This window comes from Homo sapiens, chromosome 20 (assembly GCF_000001405.40).
Source record: "Homo sapiens chromosome 20, GRCh38.p14 Primary Assembly".
Classification (NCBI taxonomy): domain Eukaryota; kingdom Metazoa; phylum Chordata; class Mammalia; order Primates; family Hominidae; genus Homo; species Homo sapiens.
The window spans coordinates 33,078,096-33,106,008 of record NC_000020.11 but is presented as its reverse complement, the minus strand read 5'-3'; the positions used below and the strand labels follow the sequence as shown (position 1 = coordinate 33,106,008).

Below are 27,913 nucleotides of genomic sequence, written 5' to 3'. Positions count from 1 at the left end.
TTTTGCAGGGTATTTTGTGGGACTGCTTTACGGAGCTCACTTTGGGGACTATGGACCTTGTCCAAGCTCTCATTTTGAAAATGGTGAATTGCACTTCAGTATGATTAAAAGACTCGCCCCCAAGTTCACACCACTCTTAGTGATTAAGCCAGGCAAGACGCTCCGTCTCTTCCCTCCCAGGTCAGCCCAGCCCAGCCCCTGACCCCATCCTCTCACAGAGAAACCACCACTTTCCCCACCAGTGAGACTCGGCTTCCTCTGACCACAGGGCCCAGAACAAGGGTTTGTTTGACATCAAGATGGCTCCAACAGAACCCCCGCTGGTGTAGCTGATGACATTGGCTGGGATGTGCCAGCCCTCCTTGTCTTCTCATCCAGGAAGCAGGAGTGGGAGAGAGTCTGGGGCCCAGTGACCCCAGGGCTTGGGCAGTTTCCCAGTCCCAGTATGTGAGTAGCCAATGACCCCCATAGTTCAACAAGCAGCCTTCCCAGTAACATTCCTGAGACGCCCCAGAGAGCAAAGCAAGCTCAGTCTACTCTGTTTATAAAGTTGGGCAAGAAAACCTCCTAACTTGATGTGGTTCCCTAGGGGGGCAGATTCTGGGCTAGGAAGGAGGCTGGGGATGTCGATAAGAGCAACTTTAGCTGTATCTGCGCCAATGGAACTTTTCACAATAAGAATGTATTCCTGTAGTTCCTGTATCATTAAAAATAAATACATGTTTAAATATGAGTCAGGAAAGATCTCAATCATATGGGAAAACAATGGAGAAAAAGAGTTTAGAAGGAAATATGCTCAGATGTTGAGATTCATTGCCTCTGCGAGGTGAGTTTTTTTTAAATTGTTTTATATTTTCTAAAACTTGCACACACACAATGTTAATACATAATCGGAATTTTCATAGATAATCAGAAAAATAAAACAATCAGCCAAACAAGAAAGAAGCAAATAAGGAAGGTGCTGGAACTTTGGGGGCCACGTTTGGATTTGGAGGCTTTCATCGACACGCTTCAAAGGAAGTGCTCAGAAATACTATTGAGGTAGGATAGATGCACATCCAGCATGCCCAACAAGCCAGTATCCCCCAGTACCCAAGCCACAAGCTCCCAGAGAGGCACAGGCACCCGCTCTCACCGTTCATTGCGGGCATGAATGCCAGGTCAAAAATCTTCTCCACCAGCACCTCCATGAGGCCAATCTGCAGAGGAAGAAGGAGGACAGAGCCTGGGCAGGGGGTTTGCTCAGCTCCAGAGGGCCCCTTGGGTCTGCTCCCCTGGCTCAAGGTGGAGACACAGACCTGCTCTGGGAGAGTCTAGGTTCTGGCAGTCAGAACCCCTGAGACCCCAGAATTTCTCACCGGCAGCCTTAAGGTGCCCCCCATCAACTTGCACATTGTGCAGATGGGCAGACTGAGGCCCAGCATGGGTGGTGGCCCAAGGCCCCTATGAAGCAGGGATTGAGGGAGGCCTAGTTCCTCCCCTGGGAGGCACAGAGCACAGGTTTCAGGGTGGCCTGGCCCCGATGGCACTGTCATGGCATCACAGAAGTCCCAATGGCCCTGGAGCCAACACCCCAGGTTCCCATCCCAGCTCAGTCTCCGTGGGCCTCTGGGCAGGCTCCTTCACCTCTCTAACCCTCAGCTTCCTCAGCTGTAAAATGGGTCAGTGAGCTGAGTTTGCAAGGATGCGGTGAGGATGGTGGGTAGATCACGTAAAACTCCTGGCCTTGAGCCTTTTCATATGTTACCTCCCTTAACTTCTCTAAGCCTTGGTTTCCACATCTGAAAACAGGAGTGAGTAACCCTTGCCTCATAGGGTGGTTATAAAAATCAGACATAAGCCCCTATATGTAACATGCCTGATGTTCCAGTCTGCAGAGGGTGAGGGCATGGACTCACTTTCCGGCAGTGCCTCTTCCTAGCTCTGTTGCCTTGGGCAAGTCACTTGAGCTTACCTTCCTTATTTGGAAGAATGGGTGTAATAATAATACCCAAATCATAACACGGTGGTAAGGATTAAATGAGAAAACCTCATTAAAAGAGAAAAAAAAGCATAATTCAGTGCCTAGGGCCCATCTCGATAGCTTCATTAATTCATTAATTTTACACTGTCAGCCCCTTTCTTCACTTGGAGTCCAGAGATTTCAGTTCTAATCCCAACTCTGCCCCAACCAGCTGGGAAGCCTTGGGCAGTTTATCCTTATAAAATGAAGCTGGCAAGATCGGCTTCACAGGCTGTAGCTTTTTGGGTTAGAAAAGCTATAAAATTAGCAACACAATGAATGGGTTTGACTTTTTCTGCACATGTGGAGATCTCATCCAAGCTTGTCCCAGAAAGCTAGCAGATGCTTAGTTGTCAATTTATAAAAAGCGGAGGTGGGGGGGTGGGGAGGAAGGAGTGTTTCTGAAGCCTTAGGTGGGGGTGGGGCACCCAAGAGTGAACAAAGAGATAAAACAGGACCCAACGCTAGAATGTGAGCATCTCAGATTTCTGGACCCTTGGAAAAGCAGAATTCCACAACCCAGGGGCAAGAAGGGAGGTTAGAAATGAACTCAAATTGTATTCATTTTACAGATGGGGAAACTGAGGCTCAGAGTGGGTTGATATCGCTCAAGGTCACACAGGAGTCAGTGGGCTCCTAACTCCAGAAGGAAAGTGGTCCTGTAGGACAAGGCTGCCCACTGTGCCTCCCCACCCTGAAATGGAGCGATTTGGGCCAAGTGGCCCCCCATGGGGCAGCCAGTTAACATGGGACAGCACCCGAGGCAGAGTAGAAGGAGCTGTGAGTCTGTCCTCTGCCCCTCACTTGCCTTGTGGGCCTCAGTTTCTACATCTGTCCATCTGCAAAATGAGGGCTGATAGTGTTGACGGGAGCACTTTGGAATTCACAAACTCCCCATGCCCAGCCAGCCTCACAGGAACACCATTCCCGGAAGACACGTCCTGGGCTCCTTCCCAGAAGATCTTGCCCTGGGAACTAAACATGGTACTTACATCAAAGTTGCCCACGTTTGAGGTTCTGAGGTTGAGGCTGGTCCTGTAGACGAAGAAAACAGCCTGTGAGAAGCAGGGATTGCCTGAAAATCATAAGGCTCTTGCATTGCAACAAATTGTGAGAAGCCCCTCCACTATCCTCACGATCACTCTCCACCTGCAGGGATTTAATAAGAACAATGCTGGCTCTCACATGCTGAGCGCTAACTACACGTCGGACACCATGCTAAGGGCTTCATGCACCACACGGAGAAGGCTCAAATCATAGCTTTGCCACCTACTAGCTTTGTGACCTTAGTCAAGGTACTTTACCTTTCTATGCCTCAGTTTCTTCATCTGCAAAGTGGGTGGCTGCTAGGACTAAAGGGGATATTCCCATAAAGCGCTGCTCCAGAGCCCTGCCATAGGTGCATGAGTGATCACCATCACCTCGTGTAATCCTTCCAGCCCTCCAGTGGAGCAGGCTCCAGGGTAATTTACTGCAGCCACAGAGCCAGGGAGGGATAGCCTAGGCCTCGCACCCTGAACCTGCACTCTCACTGTTGTGCTGTTCTGAGATGGGAGGCTGAGGCCGGGGTTTGAGGTCTCGCTCTGCTCTATAAGGGCCTCCGTCTTGCTGCACCTGAATCTCAATACAGCTGACAGTCCTACCCGAGAGAGGCCAGACCGGGCTTGCCCGTGGGGCGGAAATCGTTCGGGGCTGTTCAGAAGCATCAGCTCGGTGTCCAGCAGGAGGGAAATAAAGGTACCTTCTAAGGAAACAAGACTCTCCGCTTGGGACATGTTTTCTTCCTTCCTGACTTCCTTACCCAGCCTCTCTCCCTCTCAGGCACCGCACCCCACAGTATCCGTGCCCTTTTCCTCTCTGCGAAGCTTGCCCATGCTGCTCTCCCTGCAGGAAATACCCAGCTCTTGCCCAGCTGGCCCCTACTCCTTATCCAGGCTGCAGGCTGAATCTTGCCTCCTTGGGAACTCCTGGATGTCTCTGATGTGCACTATATTAATCACGAGTAACTGCCATTGGTGGGCTTAAGAAATATTGGTTGTAAAAGAAAAGCTTACAATGATCTAGTCACATGCTAAAAATTTTACATATGACCTCATTTAATCTTGAAATGGAAATAATGATAGTACTTATTTCCATAGGCTTATATCAAGAATTAAAGGAAGGCCGGGTGCAGTGGCTCATGCCCATAATCCCAGAACTTTGGGAGGCCGAGGCAGGCAGATCACTTGAGCCCAGGAGTTCAAGACCAGGCTGGCCAACATGGCGAAACCCCGTCTCTACTAGAAATATAAAAATTAGTCTGGCGTGGTGGTGCATGCCTGTAATCTCAGCTACTTGGGAGGCTGAGGTAGGAGGATCGCTTGAGCTGGGGAGGTCAAGGCTGCAGTGAGCCGTGACTGTACTCTAGCCTGGGCAACAGAGCGAGCTCCTGGCTCAAAAGAAAAGAAAAAGAAAGAATTAAATGAAGACACACCTAGGACTTAGCCAAATACCTGGCACACGGAAAGCATCCAATGAATAATAATTATTCTTTTTATGAATCTTACGAGGTAGTGACTATTATCCCCATTTTCAGATGAGAAAACTGAGGCTCAGAGTGAAGTTGGTTGGCCAATATCACACAGTCAGTCAGTGGTCACATCAGGATTTGAACCCATATTGCTTGGCTCCAAAGCGCATGATTGTACCCATCCAATGCAGCAGGTCACATGAACCTGGGTTGGCTCACAGCCCCTCTATGTACTTGCTGGGTGGCCCTGGGTAAGTAAATCCACTGTTTCCAGCCCTAGTTTTCTCCCTACAAAGGGAGAATAATAGCCCTGACTTCCACTGGGACCATCAGAGGGGAGAAACAAGATAATACGTACACTTCAAGTACATAGAGCAGAGCCTGGTATGTCATCATCACCAGCATCCTCCTCCTCCTCCTCGTCCTCCTCCTCATCATCATCACTGTTACTTAGAGACAGGGTCTTGCTCTGTTGCCCAGGCTGGAGTGCAGTGGCACAATCATAGCTCACCACAACCTCAAGCTCCTGGGCTCCTGCCTCAGCCTCCTGAGTAGCTGGGATTACAGGCACATGGATACCAAGCCCGGCTAATTTTTTCTAGGACTACACGTGTGTACCTATGCCCAGCTAATTTTTCTATTTTTGTAGAGATGGTGTCTTGCTATGTTTCTCAGTCTGGTCTCAAACTCCTGGCCTCAATCAGTCCTCCAGCCTCGGCCTCCCAAAGCACTGAGACTACAGGCATGGGCTACTGTGCCCACACCCCAGCATCATTATTACTGACTGTTGATTTTGGCAGTAGTTTCTTTCTAAGTTCACGGCTTCACCCACCTTGCCTGGCTTGTGACAGTGGTAATGGTAGGCATGAGCCATCGTCACCTTTGCAGCCCCTTGGGTTTACCCAGCCCTGATGGCCACACAGGAGACCTCTACCCGCTCCCTGGTGGCTCCTCCATGAGCAGCACCAGCACCGTCAGGACCCCAAGGCAGCATAGCCCCTTACTTCTCCAGCTTGGCATCAATCATGAGCTTATCTCCTTCTGTGGAAAATGAGGCCAAGAATTCTGTGTCCTGGAGGGAAAGGAAAGGAGAAAGACGTCACTGCCTTCATGTCTTGGCCAGTGCTTGCCAAAGGCTCATTGTGTGCCCAGTGCTAGCTAGGGCTTCGTTAACCCTGAGCATGATGGCAGGTTGTTCCCCGAGGCCTGGGTCAGACCTCCTTTTATAAGCATGAGACTCCTGGTTAACACTCACCATGTACTGGATTTGCACCACCTCTGGAGGGAAGGAGTTCGGAATAATAAGTTGCCAACATTAACTATCGTTTGCAAGTGAGTCACAGTAAGGGCTGAGTGAACACTTCTCAGTAAGGCAACAGTCACAGGATCCCCATGATTTATAGAGGGTGTTTACCAGGTGTCTCTGCAATGCCTCGGAGTGGGTGGGGAGTGGCTCGTAGCCTATGAAACTCACTTTAGATGACGAGATTGGGCATCACCGCTGCCAATCATAACTGTCCCATCCCCAGGAGAGGATATAAAAGGCCCAGGCTCATCTCTCTCTCTCTCTCCAAGTAGAGGCCTTTTTGTAGGAAAATCCCTTTTTCCTTCCCTGCCTCCCACCCAAAATAAATTGAATTTAAAAGTTGGCTTTATGAAAAAACAGTAAGCTCCTGAGAAATTCAGGTGATGTTAGTAGATAACAATGACCACGATGACTGGCCTGATGAAGAACTGGGGGCTCTGGGTGCACGTGCCAGGGGTGTAAGCTGGTGTGGGAAATGGTGTTTGGACTGAGGACTGAAGGGTATGTAGGACTTGGCCAGATGAAAAGAGGGTGGGAGAGTAATCCAGGCAGTGGGGAGGGCATGGGCAAAGGCCAGGAGGCAGGGAAGAGGTTGGCATTAGAGAGGTAGAGAGGAGGCCAGAGAGCAAGGAGGTAAAAGGGTTCGTGAGGCTGCAGTGAAAAGGGACCAAGCCAGGCAGAGCTGTGCGCTGGGGAGGAGTCAGGGCTGCATCCCTGGGACAGCAGGAGTCACTGCAGGGTGCTGGGCTGGCTCACACAAACCTCTGAGCTGCTGATGGAAAATCTCCACACAGTAGAGGCTGATTGATGGAGGACAGATTGGGACAGCCATTCCCACTCGTGGGCTAGAATCGACCCTTTAATCGACCATCTTATAAGGCCCACACAAGAACCCCCACACTCTGTGGCTTGGCATGCTCCAGCCTAGAGCACCTAATTCCCAACTAGAAGTGGCTTATTTGGTCTCAAGCTTTGGGAGTAGGAGGGACTAGCAGGAAGACAGCAGATGGGACCAGAGTCCCAAGTGTCTGAGTTCCAAAGCCTGAAGCCTTAATCATGGAGGGAGAAATGGCATTTAACACAGCTTAACACATTCCTGTGACCAATGTTTACTGAGCATCTACTGTGTGCTGGGCCCTAAGCTAGACCGTAGCCTAGGGTCTCACCACAGAGTGAGACTCCATCTCAAAGAAAAAAAAAAAAAAAGGAAGTAAGGGAGTAACTGTGCAGATACCTGGGGGAAGAGCATCCCAGGCAGAGGGAACAGCATCTGCAAAGGCCCTGAGGTCAGACAGTGCCTGACATGTTGGAGGAACACTGAGGAGCTCAGAGGTGATGAGGGGATGGTCATGAGGACTTTGTGGGCCATTGTCAGGAGATGGGCTTTTATTTCAGAATTGAAGGAATGCAGAGGAGAAACATGGTTCATTTTTTTTTTTTTTTTTTTGAGATGGAGTCTTGCTCTGTCACCCGGGCTGGAGTGCAGTGGTGCGATCTCGGCTCACTGCAGCCTCCGCCTCCCAGGTTCAAGCGATTCTCGTGCCTCAGCCTCCCGAGTAGCTGGGACTACAGGTGTGTGCCACCACATCCAGCTGATTTTTGTATTTTTAGTAGAGGCAGAGTTTCACCATGTTGACAAGGCTGGTCTCGAAATCCTGGCCTCAAGTGATCCACCCACCTCAGCCTCTCAAAGAGCTGGGTTCTCAAGTGTGAGCCACCATGCCTGGCCATGGTTCACATTTTAAGAGGATTCCTTTCTATGAAATAATTGTGAAAATTGTTGTATTTGTATCTGTCCCCTGCTAGGTACCAGGTACAAGAGAGCAGGCACCATCTGTCTCGTTTCCCCTTTCCCCAGTGTCAAGTAGAAAGCATAACACATAGTAGGTGCTCAATAAATATTGCTGAATGAATGATCAAGACTGGCTTGGCCACACACTGGGTATAGGCAACCTGTGAGAATAATATCAGCTAACACTTTGGCAGCCTTTAGGGTATGTCAGGCACTGCTCTGAGCATCTTACTAATGCCCTACTGCCATCCCCCTGTGGCAGAGGAGAAAATCAGTCTTAATTTCATTCAGTCATCACGACAACCCCATGTGGTATTTTTTCTCCATGTTACAGATGAGAAAACTGGGGCTCAGAAGGAAATGCCAAGCAAATTGTGCAAGGCCAGCAAGAGAGTTAAGATTCTAGTCTAGAGATAGGGAGTGACTTGTCCAAAGTCATGTAGCTGGAAGTGGTAAAGGCTAGATTTGGGTTAGAGCCTCTGGCCCCAAAGTTGGGCCCATAGTCATGATGGTGGAGATTGAGGGGATTTGAAGGGGTCTTTGGGCTCCAGGAGACCATGTGGCTCTGTCTTGAGGCCCAGCTGGAGGCCACCAGTACCTCCAGACACTCACCACGTCAATGAGGCAGATGGTAGTCTCCAGGTCTTTGGGCTGGGAGACCATGACCTCGGCAGTGGCCAACACCTTCACCAGCGCTTTGTCCTTCTGCAGCATCACAGATGGTGGGTTCAGCACCTGGATCCTGATGATAAGTGGGCAGGACTCGGGGTACTGCTGGAACACCTGTGGGCAGGCACCAGGCCAGATGGACAGGGCCCTTAGCATAGGAGGTACCCAGGGGGTTATCAGCCAACCTCTAAACACAGAGCACCGGGGTCTCATGTTGCTTGAGTCCAACAAACCACAGGCAAAGCCAATGACCCACTGTGAGAACTGGGCAAGGAGCTGCCCTCTCCAAGCCTTGCACATGGGGTTACTATGAGAAATAACTGTGATCATGCCGGCAAAATTCAGGCTCAATGCCTGACACCTGGAAATGCTTAAAACTTGGTACTGAGTGAAATGGGGTCTCCCAGAGATGCTGGCCAGGTGCTGAATGGACAGTCTTAATTTCATTCAGTCATTACAACAACCCATGGGGTATTTTTTTTTCTCCACATTACAGATGAGAAAACAGGGCCTCAGAGGGGAATGCCAAGGAAATTGTCCAAGGCCAGGAGGAAAGTTAAGATTCCAGTGCATGTCTGTGGGCTCAGAGCCCAGAGCCTCCCAATGCCTCTGAACACTGTTCCTGAAATGAGAAGTCCACGCCTGGGGAATCCCACAGGGAGGTCCCAGGCAAGGCACAGGCTGCCCCCGAGCCCGGATTGCTGGAGGGACTTGAGCTTGTTTGCTGCAGTTTGATTCCCTGAAAGCTAATTTACTAAAGGGACAATTCATAAAATGGCAGTTTGCCATATTTATCAAATGATTGACTTACCAAAAATACATACTTTAAGGAATATACTTCTTAAATATGTTAACTGACCATAGAGAAATGGGCAAAACCACAATATTACTTTCAAAAGAAACAGAAAGAAGTCCCCTCCCCTGGTGACTCCGTGCAGCCCAGGTCTCCAGGACACATTGCTGGGTCCAGCCTGAATCCCCCCTGCTGCAGTCCCAGCGCCACTGAGGACTCAGTCCCTATTCTACCCCAGCTCTGCTACTGCCTCATCATGTGACCTCTCTGAGCCTCTGTTTCCCCATCTGTAAATGGTGTGCTTCTCCTCTTTGGTCCTGTGGATAGAGGGAATGATCAGAACCAATTGAAAAAGTATATTCTGACTGGGCACTGTGGCTCATGCCTGTACTCCCAGCACTTTGGGAGGCCGAGGTGGGCAGATCACTTGAGGTCAGGAGTTCGAGACCAGCCTGGTCAACATGGCGAAATACTGTCTCTACTCAAAATATAAAATTAGCCAGGCATGGTGGTGCATGCCTGTAGTCCCAGCTACTCAGGAGGCTGAGTCAGGGGAATTGCTTGAACCAGGGAGGCAGAGTTTGCAGTGAGCTGAGATTGTGCCACTGCACTCCAGCCTAGGCAACGCAGCAAGACTCTGTCTCAAAAAAAGAAAGAAAAAGTATACTCTAAAAAACAATTTCATAAGCTGTAAAGTGCAGTGCACATAGGAAGTGACCCAGTAAATAAAAGGTCCAGTTGATTGAGGGGTCCACCTGCTGGCTGGAGCTGCCACTGTTACCACCCTAGAGAATGATCCTTCCGATGTTCAATTTGCAGCCACATGAGGGCAATAGTGACCACGTGTTGAGTTTGTTCTCCCCCTAGAGCCTTTGAATTCCACCCAGGACTAAACAGGGCAGGCAGAAAAGAGGTGAAAAATGTCTAAAATGGCTATAGATTGCAGCCATCATTCACACCTGCATAACACTTACTAGGTACAGAGCCCTTTGCTTCCAGGTGCAAGGTAATAGGCCCAGAACCAGACATGGGACCAGAACTGGGGTGGGAAAGGCCTTTGTTCCAACTCTATATGGTCACTAATTGGACAAAAGCACACTTGCTTTTTTTTAAAAAAAGAAGTAATGTGTAATTATTAACAACAGCAATAATAGTTCATGTTGATCAAATGCCTGCTCCTTGCCTTGGTGCAGACTCCAGGTCCACAGCCACCCTCTGAAGTGAGCATGGTTACCCCGTTTTCCAGATGAGAAAACTGAGGCTCAGAGAGAGGAATTGTGCATCTAAGGTCATATGACTGGGATGTGCTGACTCATGTCTGTCTGTTCCAAAGGCCTGGCTTTTCCCTCTAAGCAGCTGTGCACCCGAGTGTGCCTGGCCCGCGTTGACACCTTTACATGCATCATCTCATTTACCTTCCTATGATAACCTATGGAATAGGTATCAGCAGCCTTTTTTGACAGATGAGGAAGCTAAGGCTCAGAGATGTTAAGACTCTTCTCCAAAGTCACACAGCAAGGGAAGTGGCCAGGCTAGGATTAGGCCTATGCAGGCTGGACCACCTATAGAATTCAGGGTCTTTCCACCTCAACCCTCTGTGTCTTCCCCCGCCCCCACCCATGGGGGTCTAGCCTGCAAGCCCTTGTCACTGTCACTGCACTCCCAAGCAGGGGTTCGGGGGAGAGCACCCCACCCCAGCGCTGAGCATCTTCCCTTCCAATCCAGTTTCTCAAACAAGATAGAGAATGAGGCTGAAGGCAATGGGACCTGCCCACCTTACATACCTTGGGGATCAGGGCTCCCAGTGTGGCTGTGGTAAGTGGAGGAAGCTCTTCAAACTATAGGACAAGAAGAAGGGCCACGTGAATCCTGGAGGCTATCGGTACAGACAGGAGTTGCTAATACAGTGATTAAACTCCTACATGCTTTACAACACCCAGCAGGGCGTCTTCGTCTTCTCTCCCTGAAAGACCCCTGGGGAAGTCCTGCCTACCCAGCCATCATCACCATACGCAGATCACCGTAGCCAGTTTGTGGTTAAGTGACCTGGGCTGACTTAAGCTGACCAAGGAGTGTTTCAAAGAACAGCAGGCAAAACCTGAATATTTCTCCTCTAAAAATGTTATTCTTGGGCGAGAACGGTGGCTCATGCCTGTAATCCCAGCACTTTGGGAGGCCGAGGCAGGTGGATCACTTCAGATCAGGAGTTTGAGACCAGCCTGGCCAACATGGTGAAAATCCCGCCTCTACTAAAAATACAAAAATTAGCCGGGCATGATGGCACATGCCTGTAATCCCAGCTACTTGGGAGGCTGAGGCAGGAGAATTGCTTGAACCCAGGAGATGGAGGTTGCAGTGAGCCAACATCACAACACTGCACTACAGCCTGGGTGACAGAGCAAGATTCTGTCTCAAAAAAAAAAAAAAGAAAGAAAGAAAAAGAAAAGAAACAAATGTCATTCCTTATTAAAACAAGGAGACCAGCATCAAGTCCATTTGCATAACTCAGTGTCCACTAAATTCATGACCTCTGTCATATCCTTGAACCACCTGTACTATTATTTACTTAGCATTTTTAAATTGGCTTGCTTCTTAAGACCTCAAATACTCAAAATGGAAAGCCAGTACCACTTGACACAAAGAGATGGCAACTGTAAAACCAAATACAATAAAAACAAAATAATGCCATTACCTTCTGCATGGATATCATTGTCTGTGGAGAGCTTTGGGCATGAGCTCTGTTCTCTCTTAGTTTAAAAGGGGACAACGACAAGTGCAAGAGAGGGCTAACTATATACGGACACCAAGTGGAGACTTTTCTCTTAATGGAAGCAAGTGTTGGCATCATTTGTATGATGGTTTTGTGCAGAATGTCTTGTTCTTAGGAGATATACAGTGAAGTTTATGGAATGAATTGTCATGATGTCTGCGAAAGCTCAAATTGCTCAAAAACAGATAAGATAGATGGATAGACAGACAGGGAGACAGACAGAGAGACAGACAGACAGATCAGACAGATAGATTGATAATGGGTGAGTGGGTGGATGGATATATAAATGGATGGATGGATTGGTGGATGGATGGATGGATGGATGGATGGATGAATTGTGAAGGAATGCATAAATGGGTGGATAGATGGGTGGATGGGTGGGTGGATGGATAGATAAATGGATAGATGGATAGGTGGATGGATTAGTGGATATGGATGAGTGGGTTGATGGGTAAATGGGTGGGTGAGTGAGTGGATAGGTGGATGGATGGATAGATGGATGGGTTGATGGATGGATGGTCGGGTTGATGAGTAGATGGATGGATGGGTTGATGGTGGATGGGTGGGTGGGTGAGTGGATAGGTGGATGGCTGGATAGATGGATGGGTTGATGGAAGGATGGGTGGGTTGATGAGTGGATGGATGAATGAGTTGACGGTGGATGGGTGGGTGAGTGGGTGGATAGGTGGATGGATAGATAAACAGATGGATGGATAGATGGATGAATTGGTGGATGAATGGGTGGATGGTTTGATTGGTGGATGGGTGGGTGGGTGGATGGATGGCTGGATGGCTGGATAGATAGATGGAAGGACTGGTGGATAAATAGATGGATATACAAATGAATGGGAGGGTGGGTGGATGGGTGGATGGATAAATAAATAGATGGATGTATGGGTGGATGAATGGGTGGGTGGATAGGTGGGTTGATGGGTGGAGGAGTGGGTGGGTAGGAGGGTGAATGGACGCATAGGTAGATATGAAGCAACTGTGGCAAAATTTTAACTAGTGGATCTAAGTGAAGGATATATGTCCATCAGTTGTAGCATTTTGCAACTTTTCTGAAGCCTTGAAAGTTTTCAAAAGAAAAAGTTTGGAAAGAAAATGACTGGAGCATGCCTAAGGGTGATATTTTGTTATGTGTCATTTTGTTACTTATGTATTAGTGTTTACCAAATGAAAACATTCTAAACATTTATATTGAGGTTCATATATGTGAATATATGTTATGCTTTTAAAAAACAATTGAAATAAAGTTAAATAAAATTGAATAGGGAGCAACTTTCTCATCGTGAGATTTGGTCTGTGGACCACCTGAAATCCTCCCAAGCACCACTTTGGCAAGTACTGACGTAATTGACGCACACCCATGAGCTGGAGGTGAGTCAAGGGGTGGACCATCTGCAGTTCTCACTTCACAGCAAATTCCCCAAGTCTGTGGAGACTGAGAAGGGTCACTGGCAGCTGTCTGCTGCCCAGCCACCTCCCCCTGGTGGGGCTGTGACTCACCATGCCATTGGTGATATCCAGGTCTAGAGCATGCTGCTTCTGCAGTAGAGTCAGCACTGAGCCCAGGAAGTTGGCAGACATGGCCAGCTGGGACTTGGTGTTGTCACCCATGGGAGGCAGCTCTGGCATCGGCTTGGGAGACACAGCTGGCCACCCCAATGGGTAGTCGATGAGTCCTCCTCCAGCCTCCCCAACCAGCGTCTGGGGGAGAAGAGAAGAAAGGGGTCACAGGGAGGGAGAAGATGGAAAGAAGGGGACTGAAGGCTGGAGTGAGGCCCTGAATCTGCCTCCAGGCAGCCATTTTTGGTTAAACCCACTGAGTCTGAGTGGCTCTTTGATGCATGGTCCCCACTCTCCTCCAGTTTATGATGCAGTGGAACCTTTCGCAGTTCCTGCTTCATGGTCACTTACAATTACAGCCATGGTATGACAGATCCTCTCCAAACTCAGCCCTGCAGTGATGAACTAGCATATGTATGCATCTGTACAATGCATATCTACCCTCTAAAGACCAGACTCCTCTCCACGGTCTACAAGGTGCTAGGTGATCTGCTCCAGGAGACCTCTCCAGCCTCCAAGCCACTCTGTCTCTCACCTTCCCGCTACACAGCCACCAGGGCCTTTGCAGTCTCCCCACAACACCACTACCCCCACCATGGAGCCTTCCCACAGGATATTCCCTTCCCCACATTCTTCTTTTGTTAAGTTCCACTCATCTGGCAGCTCTCAGCTCAAGTGTTACCTCCTCCAGGAAGCCCTCCTTGACTTCCCTGGGTGGATCATACACCCCCTGCTTTAGGCTCTGATAGCCTCGGATCCTTGATCACCGTGCTCATGACTTAGAATTGCATATTTGTTTGAGTGATTCTTTATGGCCTGTCCCCTCCAAAACATTCTAATCTCCATCAGGGCAGAGACTTTGTCTTGTTCATCACTGTACTTCCAGCACTCAGCCCAGAGCCTCACTCAGCCTCAGCTCAGGCATACAGCGGGTGACCAATGAATATCTCTTCAACAGATGTATGTTTATGAATATATTAGGTGTGCATGCACAGGTGCTGGAAATATATATGCATGCGCAGGGGCGCCTGTATACACGGGAGCACGGATGCACTCCTGCATCTCTGTATCTGCTGGAGCAAGTGTGGAGTCATCTGTGTTCATGAAGCCTAGGGAAAGTACATATGTGTGCGTGCCCCATACAAAATTAGGGGCCAGATGCAGGCCAGTGCTGGAGGAGCCAGCTCATACCACCTCACATGGTCAGATTTCACACATCTCTTCCCAACTCTGCATCCACTGACGTCATGTTGGTAACTTGAAGCTGTCCATGATGGGAGTTTTGATACCATGGATATTGGCCAATGCTACAAATCAGGACTTTTTTTTAATCATGGAGAGATGATGGTTAAATGCTTACCAGCATACCTCTGGCCACATTTATTCCTCCAGTACACCCAATCCCACAGCAGCAGCTCTTTTAGCACCTAGTAGCTCGATTGCCTGGGTTCAGACCCCAGGTCCACATTTATTAGCTGTGTGACCTTGGGCAAGTGATTTAACCTTTCTGTGGCTCAGTTTCCTCAATAAGAAGTGCCTCCCTCATATGGTTGCTGTGAAGATAGGCTGAGTTAATCGACACAAAGCACACAGAATGTGCCTGGCACACAGTAAGCATTTGGAATGCTGGCCATGATTATGTTTTCTAACACAGCTCTTAGAAGGCCTTCTTCTAATCGAGAGGGTCCTGTCAAGTGTTACTTCCCAGGCATTCAGCAGAAGCCCTGGGAGGGCCTCACTGATACTCCTGCCTTTGGGAGGAGGGCCACCACCCTTTGCCCTGAACCCCAGGCACTCACGTTGAGGTCCAGCTCCAGGAATTCCCCGGTCACAAGCGGGAGGCTGGAGAAGGTGTACTGGACACTTCCCAATATCCCCAGAGGAATCAGAGCTGCAGGCAAAGGAGAGGGTCACAGGGAGGTCCCCTCACCATCCAGATGCCTTCCCTCCTCATACACTGGGGCTGGGGATGGACAAGGTAGGCCCAGGCTCCAGCTCCAGACACCATGAAAAGAGCAAAAGTTCTGGGTTTGAATCCCAGCTCTGCCTCTTCCTTGCTGTGTGAACCCAAGCAAGTCATTGCACTTCTTTGAACCTCAGTTGCCTCCTCTGTAAAATGGGTTTACTGTAACCTCTGGGACTACGTTGGTGGGGGCAGGGGGGTGCAATATCCTGGATGTTGATGAGCTTTGTAAACTGTGAAGTGCTGTGCACCAGGGAAGGAATTTAGGGTTCCACAATGTGGTGCTTAGTTGAATCTGTCATTTCCTTGACTGTGTAATGAACAGCCCCAGCTTTTGGGCTCTTCCTTCCTCATCTCTGGCCACAAAGGGAAGGAGATTTCCCTGTCTTGGAAAGCCATTCTCAAACTGCCTAGAGTCCCAGAGAAATGGGAACACTATCAGAGACGGCTGCCCTGTGTGGCTGTGGAGGCTGTGCACTGCACAACTCGAGGCACTGCCATTGCACTGTAATCCATGTGAAAGGAGGTCCCTGGAATGGTGCAGTGCACAAATGGCACAGCCATACAGGGCGGGCTTGCTTTCAGGAATGTTCACTCAGAAATCAGGGTCCGAGATGGTGGTAGAGCCTGGTTCTGAGGCCGTGGTCAGTCTCCACAGTGTGTCTCCTGCTAGTCACTCTCCAACCCCTCTGTGAATTGAGAGATTTGAGAGATGAGAAAACTGGGAAGAGTCTCTCCAAGTCCACACAGCTGCCAGGGCAGAACCGGGGCTCAAACCCAGCTTCCTGGCTCCCAGGACGAGCCATTACCTCCCAGACCCCTGACTCCCAGGACAGAGCCATCACTTCCCAGACCCCTGACTCCCAGACCCTGGTGGAAGCTCCTCCCTCTGGTACTCGGGGGGGGTGTTTGGGAGCAAGAGGGAAAGCCAGGTGGCACCTCCCTTGTGGCATTAGCCACTCCTCACTTCAAGGGCCTAAGGGCAGGTCTGTGGCCCCCACCACATTGAGCCCTCCTCCCAGAAAGGGCCCGGTCCTCAGTGCCTTCCCCAGGCTGGAGAAAGTGTATTGGACTTACAATCCACGAGGCCCAGCTGGTCATTGACAAGACCCAGCACCACATCCACGATGGGGCAGAGCTGCAGGGGAGAAATGGCACAAAGCCTTGTTGACGCTGCAGGGAGTAGGAGCAAGGGAGTCGGGGACGCAAGAGTAACGATAGCTAAAATTTACTGACTGCTTGCTCTGTGCCAGGCACTCTCCTCACCACAGCCCTGTGGGGAAGGCTGTCTCTAATTCCCACTTACAGATGGGAAAATCGAGGTTCAGAAAGATGATGCAACTTGGCACCCAGCTAGGAAGTGCCCAAGCCGGGATTCAAACCCGGAACTGTGCAATTCTCAAGGTCCCTCTCCTTAGCCCTTCACTAATCTGTCCTTTCGTGTTCCTCAGGGTCCTCCCCAGACCCTCCAAATACATGCCCCAGGCCTTGGCTCTCTCTGTCCCTCTGGGTTACCTGCAGGCCCCCAGGGATGGAGGCTGGACTATGGCCCCTCAGTCTGGGGGAAGCCTGTGCCCCTTGCTCCCATACTGGGACAGCTTCTTACCAAGTCAGGGAGGACGTCGGCCAGGACTCGGTTCACTAAATTGTCCACGAGATTGGGGAGAAGCCTAAGGAGACAGGAGCAGGATGAGGTCAAGGCTCGCAGCCATGTGGGGCTCACCAAGGCTGTCCACCCTGTGGGTCACTAGTCCAGGCTCTGAACAGTGAGAACCTCTGAGTGCTGGAAAACTGTTCGAAAGCTGGGAGGACAGAGTACCTTCACCTTGGACTGACTAGACAGGCCACCCAGGCAAATTGTTTGGCTTTTCATGAATTCATGCATTCATTCATTCAATAAACAAAGTGTCTGGAGCTTTATAATGGGTCAGGCCCAGGCTGTAATGTTGCTGATTTTCAACTGCAAAAGTCATTCCCATCTGCTGATCTGACCCTCAAATGGGTCATTTGCTGCAGCCTTATGTTGTGTTTCCAAAGGGAAAACGAACGTGTTTATTTATCTAAGCATCTGACTCAAGATCTAGTACATAGTAGGTACTCAGTAAATGTTTGTGGAAGGGAGGGAAGGAGAAATACTGGCCAATAAAATGTGCTCATGTGATCCACAAGAAAGGATGGATAGTTGGTGCTCAAACAATTGGGAGAGGTGATCCATTTTACAGACAAGGAGGCTGAGGTCCACAGAAGTAAGCCATGCAGCTCTTTTTCTTTTTCTTTTCTTTTTTTTTTTTTTTTGAGACAGAGTCTCAGTTTGTTGCCCAGGCTGGAGTGTAGTGGTAAAATCTCCGCTCACTGCAGCCTTGAACTCCCGGGCTCAAGAAATCCTCCTGCCTCAGCCTCCTGAGTATCTGGGACTACAGGTGCACATAACTGTACCCAGCTCTTAACTAACCCTCCCAAGCTGTTAGTTAAGGAGGAAAATCGACGATAAACAAGATGTATAGATGGGCAGACAGATTTTTGGTCTAAGAATTTGTTTCCAGGGGCCTGCAGTGATAAGAAGACGAAGGAAACATGATCATCCTACACCAAAATGTCTCTGACCGCCGGACCTCTTGAGAACTTCACTCCGTCCCTCGCCACCGAACCCTGCCTGGGTTCCCGCTTCTGAGGTTGTGGCTGACTGTTCAGAGCTGCGCCAATTCAGCAAAGCAAAGAATTTCTTGAAATAAAGCCCTAATTAGAACATTTCTCCCAAAGCTAACTATGCATTTCGGTCCCCCTTTTAAGTGGATTCACCTTGACGGGCTTATCCTGGTTCCACCTCTCCTCAGATGATAAGGGCCTTGAGAATATATATGTGTGTGTATGCATGCATGCTTGTGTGTGTGTGTGTGTGTGTGTGTGTGTGTGTGTGTTGAGGGGATAGTTGGACTTTCCTTTATGTACATTCAGGGCATAAACTCTTTTTCTCTTCTGGGAAATTATCCAACAGGTTCATCGACCCTCCTGTGAAATGACATATGTAAAAGGTTATTCATTGTGACCTTACTTGTCAGGACACAAGATCAGGCAAATTATATCCAACAATAGAGGACCAGCGAAATAAGAGATGGCTCATCCAGGCAATGGAATATTACGTAGCTGTAAAAAGTTAAACAAGGAAGCTCTCGATGTTTGGATGCAGAAAATTCTCCCAATAGGGTAAATGAAAAAAAGCAAAGTGCAAAACAGTATTTATAGTATGTGCCCCTTTGCATAAAAGGAGGGTGGAAGATGAGAATCTATGTTCATATTTGTTTCATGTGTACAAAGAAACTGGAAGGAGAATTGAGAGATGAATAACTGGTGAGCTTGGTGGGAGGGAGGCAGAGGGAGGTGGGATAGGAGGAGGCCCTGTGCTCTGTGCCTTTTTGTTATTTTATGTTTGTGAACCATGCAATACCAAATATCTATTTCCTAGTGAAAATGTGAATTTAAAAATCTGTGAGGTTTCCATGGTTTTCCTCACCCTCCTCTCCTTGCCTGGACCCTGGGAGCTGATTTTCTTTGCCTCCATCGTCTCTGAAGCAGAAGTAAAGTCTCCAAGAAGCCCACGGGAATCAGAAAGTTTGGGGTTCAAGTTGCACAATGAGTTTCAAGGGCTGGGGGGACTGGGCCAAAAGATGGATAATAATGGAGAGGAAGAAGTGGGGACAGAGGCCTCCAAGAGAGAAGCCAAAGAAGAGGGCAGGGAGTGAACAGAAAGAGACTCCGCTCTGAGTGTGTACTCATCCAAGAGCACCACCTGGGGACAGCGTGCTGGCCAGTATATGAACACTTGACACCACTTCGCCAGAGGATGGAGACTTGGACATTTTGTAAGGAGCACGTCATAGGAAAACTCTCATCCCCTCACCAGGTTTGAACTGGGCAGAACCAAGTGGGGAATGCCCCTGTGATCTGGGGCACCAACGCACACAACCCCTGTTGGACGTACGTTCATCAGCTCTCAAGATATCCCAGCTGATCACTAAGTGTTTTCCATTCCTTATCTCAATTCCTGAAGGAAAAAGAATTACCCATTTCACAGAGGAGGAAACTGGAGCTCAGAGAGGGCAAGAGAGCTACCCAAAATCACACAGCAATGAACCATGGAACTGAGATGTGAGTCTCAGGCATGCTCCTGACCATTCAGATCAAAACCTTTTCAAAGCTGGAAAGAATGTGTGTCGCAAATGACATATTTTCCAGGCTGGTCGAAGGCCCCATCCTGGGTTTGAAGGTGCAGGCCATGAATTCCCATCAGGCATGTGCCAGGTCAGGGACAGAGGTGAGAGTACAGCTGGCTCAGCATGAGTACTCACCACCCCACAGCATCATCGTCCTGCCCACCCCAGAGCCTATGGGCAGGTGGGTGACGTCATGTTGTTTGCCAAAGACAGACCATTCCAGCAACCCCCAAGGCACTCCACTGCCGGCTAGCACTCACCCTCGCAGCAGCTTGACTTTGATGCCCCCTAGGAGGGTGTCACATCGCTCAATGACCAGCCGAGGATAACCCGTGCGGTCCATGGTCAGCCGGACCTTGGCTGTGATGTTCACTTCTACTGCGATGTCCAGGAAGCCAATAAGACTGGAGGAGGCCAAGGGGCCAGGGAGACCATGAGTCACCCCCAGCCGCCAGGAGCTCACCCTTACCCAGGCCTGTCCTTGCTGTCCCTGCCATCTGCTACGCTCCTTGCTCATCTCTAAGGAACCCAACCCAGAACTCTTCCCTGGTCCCTCAAGTCACACGTGAACAAGTCTATCTCCCCCTCAGCCCATGAGCTTCAAAGGCTGGGAACAGGGCTCAGCACACATTCTGGTTTCCAAGGTGACTCCCAATTGCCTAGCTTGGTGGACACGACCTCATCCCACGGGGATAAGTCCACACAGAAGCCCACCCTCTGAGGTCCTCTAGTCAGCACCTAGTGCATGGAAGGCCCTATTCCAGGAAGCATTTTGCTTGCCTTTCCCCACTTACGGCCACAGTCACCTGGAAAAGGGGGTGACCTCATTATCCCATTGCCAGTGAAGACACTAAGATTTAGTGACACTGGGGGACTGGCCCAAGGTCACACAGCTTATGAGAGAATCAGGATTTGAACCCAAGCTGTCACCTGACTCCAGCCTCCCAGATTTATTTATGTATTTATTTTGAGATGGAGTTTTGCTCTTGTTGCCCAGGCTGGAGTGCAGTGGCACGATCTCAGCTCACTGCAACCTCCGCCTCCTGGGTTCAAGCGATTCTCCTGCCTCAGCCTCCCAAGTAGCTGGGACTACAGGCACCTGCCACCACGCCCAGCCCATTTTTGTATTTTTAGTAGAGACGGGGTTTCACCATGTTGGCCAGGCTGGTCTCGAACTCCTGACCTCAGATGATCTGCCTGCCTCGGCTTCCCAAAGTGCTGGGATGACAGGCATGAGCCACCACTCCCAGCCCAGCCTCCCAGATCTTAACCACTGTGCTAGGCTGTTTTCACCGCTGACAGATGGCCTCTGGTGCAAGTCTGTGGGCATGCACTGGCAGAAGTTTAGGTCTTCCTAGCCTCTGTGTTATGGATACAGAGGTTGGGCCATAGGGTGGTGGGGACCCCTCCAGGGCCAAGGGCACGCACCTCTTCCCGTTGATGGCCACACGGGTGTACAAGCTCAGGTAGACACCCACGCCGGGCAGGAGCCGCACGGACACCCGAGGGAGGGTCAGCTCCACGATACGCAGCCTGCTCGGGACACAGAGTGGTGAGAAGGCCGGCCACCCCAACTACCACCCACTCACCCGAGCGCCCTCCCCTACACCCCCTTTCTCTGCTCCCCGTCTGTTCCTTCTGACTCTAAAGACACTAGACACCTGCAGTTCAAGGACAGAATGTGGAAAACAGAGAAATTAAGGCAAAAATGCCATGACCTGTAATCCCAATGCCCAGAGGCCCACTGTGTGCATTCCGTATATTTCCTTTGAATCTTTTCTGCATGTCAAGATGCCATTCCCTCTCTCTGCTCATCCCTGCCCCTCTTGCCTGGTTCCCTCCTATACATATAGGTTCCTCCTGCTTAATTCCCTCCTATACATTCTTCAGATTTCAACTTAAGGTCCTCTTCCTCCAGGAAGCCTCCCTTGACCTCCCTAGGTAGGTGAGCTGCCCCGTTATAGAGATTCTTACTTCTCCATGAACTTCTTGCCACTGTTGAAACTGCATGGTTATGTTTAGGCTTCTTATCAATGCCCATGTACCCTATCAACCTGCAAGCTCCGTGGAGACAGAGAATGTGTCTTTTCTTGGCTTACCATTGGGTCATGTCCCCAGTGCCAACACAGTACTCTGCACATAGCAGGAGCTTTAAATATTTGTTAAATTAAACATCGACTATGAGGAACAGGCTGAGCATAGAACTTATGATATATATGTATAGTTTTTAAATCCTTGGGGTCTTTTCCACTACACTGTATTACTATGACCATTCTACAGATGAGGAAACTGAGACTCGAGAGATGATATCAATGGCCCAAAGTCACACGCAAACATGAAAAGCTGAACTGGGTCTCAAACTTAGGACTGTTTCATGCCAAGACCCAAACCATGTAACTTGGGGGTCTTAAAACTTCCAATCCTGAGGCCAAACCCTGAAGTGTGTGGGGCTCTGAAGACCTTCCCTCCGGCAACCCCAGCTTCAGGGAGTGATCACCCCCATTTGGAGGTGTATGGGGGCTTTCTGGGGAGAACCCGTCCCCTCCTTACCCCGTGATGCCTTGCACAGTGCTGAGGATGCCACCCTCGCCGAGCACGCCCAGGACACCCCCTCCTCCAAGAAGTCCTCCATCACCAAGGAGACCACCTCCGCCGAGCAGGCCACCTTGGCCTGCGAGGATGCCATCAGCTGCCAGCATGCCTCCAGTGCCCAGCAAACCACCTGGGCCCACCGCCCCAGTGGCAACTCCAGGTGGGATTTCTCCAGGCTGCAGCTCTCGCCGGTGAAGCCTGCCCACAGGTGCTGCCCTGTATCGCCCGAGGCCCCTGTGGCCTCCATATGCATTCTCGGCACTGCGATAGCCACTGTTTCGGAGGTCCCTGATGCTTCCCTCGGACTCAAGGATCTCACCATATCGGTATTTGCCCCCCAGCTGAGCAGTGTTGTCGTTGGTCTCAATGTGACCATACTGGTAAATACCATCAAGTTTTTTGCCGTTGGTATATACTGGGGGGGGTCCTCGGACATGGAAGTCATTGTAGGGAATATCACCAACACCTCGGGGGAATTCAATGCGTCTGTAGTCATTGTAATGGTGTCGGCCACCACCCAAAAGACCACCACCACTGCCACCCAGCAGCCCCCCTCTACTGCCACCCAGCAACCCCCCACCACTGCCACCCAGCAGCCCCCCACCACTGCCACCCAGCAACCCCCCACCACTGCCACCTCCTCCACCCAGCAACTCCCCACCACTGCTGCCACTGCCACCCAGTAAGCCTCCACCCAACAGATCACTGCCACCCCCTCCACCCCCACCACCAAGCAGGCCCCCCAGGAGACCACCTCCCCCACCACCTCCACTTCCACTTCCACCAAGCAGACCGCCCAGGAGAGGCCCACCACCATCACCACGGGCTTTACCCAAGGGCACCTCTCTCAGGGCCGAGTGGAGAGCATCACTTTGCTGCAGCATGCCTGAAATGGCTGCAGAGAGGCAAGGGCATCAGTCCAGGGTTCCTCCCTTTTTTCCACCTCCAGCCCCCAGGCAGCACCTCGCAGTGTTGCTCAGCTCCCTGGGCCTCACTTTTCCCACCAGCGAAGAGCAGAGGCTGAACGGGATGACTTCTCCAGGCTGATCTAGCCCTGGCATCCTGGCCAGCTCATTTTCTGCTGGGTTTTGTCTGGTCTTACTTTAACTAGATTTGGACATCAGCCAGCCCTTCATGGATTTTCTTCATCGCCCTCCCTTCTAAGTGCTCTGCACTTTACAGCTTTAAAAAATTGACTTCAGGACGGGCGTGGTGGCTCATGCCTGTAATCCCAGCACTTTGAGAGGCTGAGGAGGGTGGATTATGAGGTCAGGAGTTAGAGACCAGCCTGGCCAAGATGGTGAAACCCCGTCTCTACTAAAAATACAAAAATTAGCCAGGTGTGGTGGTGGGCACCTGTAATCCCAGCTACTCAGGAGGCTGAGGCAGGAGAATCGCTTGAAACGGGGAGGAGGAGGTTGCAGTAAGCCGAGATCGCACCATTGCACTCCAGCCTGGGCAACAAGAGCGAAACTCCGTCTCAAATAAAATAAAATAAAATAAAATAAACTTTCTTATGTATTATCGCAACTGATTCTTGGGAAATAGTCAAGGCCAGAAGTGTACCCGTCTGATGGATAGAAAGATTGAGGCCTGTGAGGTACTCAGAGATCACTTAAATAGGAAATAATCTCATTTTTTTATGCTCATGATAGCCTGGGATGGGTGTTGAGGGAGAAAGTATGTCCTCACATGCTAGATGACAAAAGCAAGGTCCTAAGAATTGGAGGCAAGAATAATTATAGCTCCCACTTTTGAGGGCCTTCTAAGTCCCAGGAGCTGTGCTAAGTTTTCAAAAGGTCATTTCATTTCATTCTCATATCAGTTCTCTGAGATAGAGACTATAATTACACCCATTTTACAGATAAAGAAACTGAGGCTCAGGGAACTCAAGTCATGAACTTAAGGTCACACAGTCAGGATTTGAACCCCACGAAGGCTGATCCAGGGCTCTTAATCATTGTTCTCTATTGCCTCTAAAGAATGAGCATAAAGTCACCAGTATGGTGCTTGGCACATAGTAGGTGCTCAGGAAATGGTAGTCAAAAGAAAAAGGAGAAACTAAGGCCCAGAGAGTAGAATTCACCCAGCCTCCCGATGTGAACTCTGCTAGCAGGAGGAGGTTCCTGGGTACTTCAGAGTTGGCAGAGCTGCCCTGCTCACCCCATGCCAACCCTCACCCCTTTGGGGCTGGACTCACCATTGCTCAACACATCTTTCGTCACCCTGAGGACCGTGTTTGTCTCGTGGCTGGTGCCACACACAGCCACCACAGACAGCGCAGCCACACACCAGGCCATCCACATGCTGGCACTGCTTCCCTGTGGAGGAGAAAGTGCAGATGCAGATGTGGCTGGGCGCCACCACCCTGGCCAGCAGGTAGCACTAGGCAGCCCCAGCCAAGAGTCATCTCAGGACCCTGGGACCCAGAGAGAGGGGAAACCAGCCAAGGTCACATACTAAGGCAGGGTCCAGAATTCCAGATACTACCTTTTGAGTTTTTCAAATTGAAATGAATCTGGTGACACAAAGCAGACCCATTAAACACACTGTTTCAGAGAATGGATGTCTAATTATCTCCCAAGATGGAATTGACAAATTGAGCATCAGGGAGATGGGTAATAGGGATTCCAACAAAAACACCAAACTGGGAGCTCGCAGGTTCTAAGGAACTCTCTCCAGCATCTACCCATCTACTCATCTACTCATTCCTCTACATCACTCACCCATCTACTCATCTACTCATTCTCCCCTTCGTATTTATTCTCCTATTCACCCATACATTCAACCTACTATCTTTCCATCTATCTATTACCCATCTGTCATGGAAACACCCAGCAAGCCATATATCTATCCATCCAACCAACCATCCATCCAACCAACCATCCATCCACTCATCAACTCATTCTCCTCCCTCTATTTATTAATCTGTCCACCCATCCCACCATCCATCCATCTTCCCATATATCTATCATCCATCTGTCATCCAAACAGCTGGCAAGCCATATATCCTCCTGCCCATCCATCTATCCAACCAACCATCCATCCACCCAGCTATCCATCCATCCATCCATTCATCTTTCCATCAGTTTATCTACTCATCAATGCATTCATCTAGCCACCCTTCCACACATCCAGCTCACCAGCAAACACTCTTCCCATCTCTTTGGAGGAGTCAGTTCTACACCACGTGGTTAATATTAATGGCTCTAGGTCAGAGATATCTGGGTCTTAATGCTTAGGAAAGGGACTTTACCTTTTTGAACTTCTGCTCCCAAATCACAAACAAGTTGTATCTCATACATAGTAGACACTCAATAAAGAGCAGCTATTGTTATTACTTTGGGACTGTTATTTCAGACCCCTAAGAAGTGGGTGAGGAATGTTATGAGATTGGGGAGGTGAAACATGCATTTTGGAACGAGCTGCATAGCCTCTGGGAAACTTTCTTTTGCTCCTTTTGTGCCCTCATCCACTTCTCTCACTCCATCAGCCCCGGCTACACATCCACCAACCTCAGAGAGTCAGCACAGGGCATGGCCTCTCATCTGAGCCAAGAAATTGTTGGTTTCAGCCACCTTTGTTTAGGCACACTCTCCTCTTTTTTCTGTCCCCATTTCTCTTGGACTTCACAGCGCCCCCAAATTCTTTCCCTACTCCTATCTGCTCCCAGAAGAATATTAGAGGCATTCATTTACACTAGAATATAAAGGACTACTATATGCAATAATTTTTTTCTGGCTTCCTCACCTCATCCTAACCTCACTTTCCAGAGAGCTGTGTTCAAAAAGGAATCACCCCTTTCAGTTAAAAAGATGGGCACCGATGGAAGATTTCTGGCATCAGCAAACAGCTGAGGAGTCTCCAGGAGGTAGCAAAGGCCCTCGGTACCCAACGTCCCTGGGAAAGATGAGTGCAGCTCTGCGCATGCATGTAATTGGCATAACCCAGGCCTTTTTGCTGATTCCCAAGAGGCTCTCCTGACTAGGCCCATGCTACAGACAAGACCCCTGAACTTGGAGAGGGGCCATCCTGATGGATCTCCAGGCTGGGACTCTCTCTCCTTATTACCTTCCCAGGCCTGTGCCTCCCCTGCCGGACACTGAGTAGACAAGGTGCGCCTCCTTACCCCTAGGAGGTCCCTGCCGCTGAGTCTTGAGAAGTCCTGTTCCCCAGCCCCTCTGCTTTTGGCTGAGTCTGGTCACAGATCAGTCTTATATAGCAGCCTGAGGCTGAGCCCAGACCCCAGAGAGGGAAACACTGTGTAATTACAAGAGACCGGAATTCAGATTTGCTCTGCAAATTGGGCATTGAGCCCCAAAACCATAAAGGTTTGCGGTTTGTGGCTAATTCCAAGACTTGCACTCAGCCCCAGATGGTGTCACATGAGCTGGGTTTTATCAGCCCTTGGGCTGGGCACATTCCCAGAGACCCCAGCTAGGCCTCAAGCTTGGGGAACTGGAATCACCCCCAGATGCATCTAGTTTCTAACTCTAAGGCAGGCACTAGCCATTCCAGATGATCTGGGTAGACAGGAGGTGCCCAGGCTGGACTCAGCATCAGGATGACCCAGGTTCAAACCCTGCTCAACCCCCAACTCACCGTATGACCTTGGGCCAGCCACTTCCCTCCTCTGAGCCTCACATTCTTTCCATCTGGCAAATGAGTATAATACCTGCCTCACAGGGCTGATTTTAGGACTAAAGGAGACGAATATGAATCCAGCTCCTCAAACTTGGGACTGGTGCACGAATGTGCATTTTTTTTATCTGAAAAATATTCCTCACTCATTTCTTAGGGGTCTGAAATAATAGTCCCAAAGTAATAACAATAGCTGCTGTTTATTGAGTGTTTACTATGTATGAGATACAACAAGGTTTTTCCCAACTATTTCCTCATGAAATTTTCATACCTATAGCAAAGGTGAAGGAAATGTACAGCGGACACACATGGTTGTCACGTTGTTCCCACCAACTATACCCACCATTTACATTCTTGTCATATTTGCATCCATCTGTTAGTCCATCTTTTATTTTTTATGCATTTGAAAGTTGCAGACATCAGTATACTACCACTAAACACTTCACCCTGCATGGCATTCAGATTCTTTTCTTTATATCTTTAAATACAGTGACATGCACAAATCTTAAATGTTCATTTGCTGAGTTTTGACCATTTTTTACGGTCATGCAGCCCACACTCCTATCACAATATAGAACATTTCCACCACCCCAGAATGTTCCGTCTGCCTTTTCCCAGTTGCACCCTCCAAAACCTGCTGGGACACAGCCCAGACCACTTCACTTGGCATCCAAGGCCTTCCGTACACACATCCCAGTCCTCTCTTCACACAGAGCTACTCATTCCTTCCATCCCCTCCTCATCACCCCCTGTGCTCCCTGCCTCTGGGCCTTTGCATGTGCAGTCCCTGCTGTCTACAAAGCCCTCTCCAGATTCTAAGGGTGAAAGGTAAGCAGCTGCAGGAAGCTTCCCCCAGCCCCTACAGTTCCTCTGGCCCATCCAGAGATCCCTGGGGCCCATAGTGAAGTGTTGTTTCTCCAGGCGAACCAGCTATGTGCCCCACTCCTAGGCCAGCACAGGCATAGATGCCAGTGTAACAAATGAACAAGTGAATGAATTAATTAACTCATCTTTCGCTCTCCACTGGACAAAGTGCTCCCTATCTTCCCACCCCATAGCCCCAACCCAGGTCCTACCTCCATGTTTAATCAATGCC

At 49.7% G+C, this 27,913-nt stretch overlaps 1 protein-coding gene across 1 annotated transcript in view; it reads right to left on the bottom strand.

Annotated features, from left to right (window-relative positions):
- The window catches only part of BPIFB4 (BPI fold containing family B member 4), a 32,109-nt gene extending 5,743 nt beyond the window's left edge, over positions 1 to 26,366 (bottom strand). Inside the window, exons 1-16 of the mRNA NM_182519.3 lie at positions 26,306 to 26,366; positions 25,433 to 25,540; positions 24,377 to 24,497; positions 23,009 to 23,071; positions 22,135 to 22,642; positions 21,013 to 21,117; positions 19,845 to 19,988; positions 16,980 to 17,043; positions 16,451 to 16,511; positions 15,210 to 15,301; positions 13,351 to 13,551; positions 10,856 to 10,909; positions 8,222 to 8,392; positions 5,516 to 5,583; positions 2,995 to 3,037; positions 1,136 to 1,199 (exon numbers count right to left, since the gene is read on the bottom strand). Coding sequence (NP_872325.2) covers positions 1,136 to 1,199; positions 2,995 to 3,037; positions 5,516 to 5,583; positions 8,222 to 8,392; positions 10,856 to 10,909; positions 13,351 to 13,551; positions 15,210 to 15,301; positions 16,451 to 16,511; positions 16,980 to 17,043; positions 19,845 to 19,988; positions 21,013 to 21,117; positions 22,135 to 22,642; positions 23,009 to 23,071; positions 24,377 to 24,482 — 1,744 coding nt within the window. The 5' untranslated portion in view covers positions 24,483 to 24,497; positions 25,433 to 25,540; positions 26,306 to 26,366. The remainder of the gene's footprint in view (positions 1 to 1,135; positions 1,200 to 2,994; positions 3,038 to 5,515; positions 5,584 to 8,221; positions 8,393 to 10,855; positions 10,910 to 13,350; positions 13,552 to 15,209; positions 15,302 to 16,450; positions 16,512 to 16,979; positions 17,044 to 19,844; positions 19,989 to 21,012; positions 21,118 to 22,134; positions 22,643 to 23,008; positions 23,072 to 24,376; positions 24,498 to 25,432; positions 25,541 to 26,305) is intronic.
- Between the last annotated feature and the right edge of the window lie 1,547 nt (positions 26,367 to 27,913).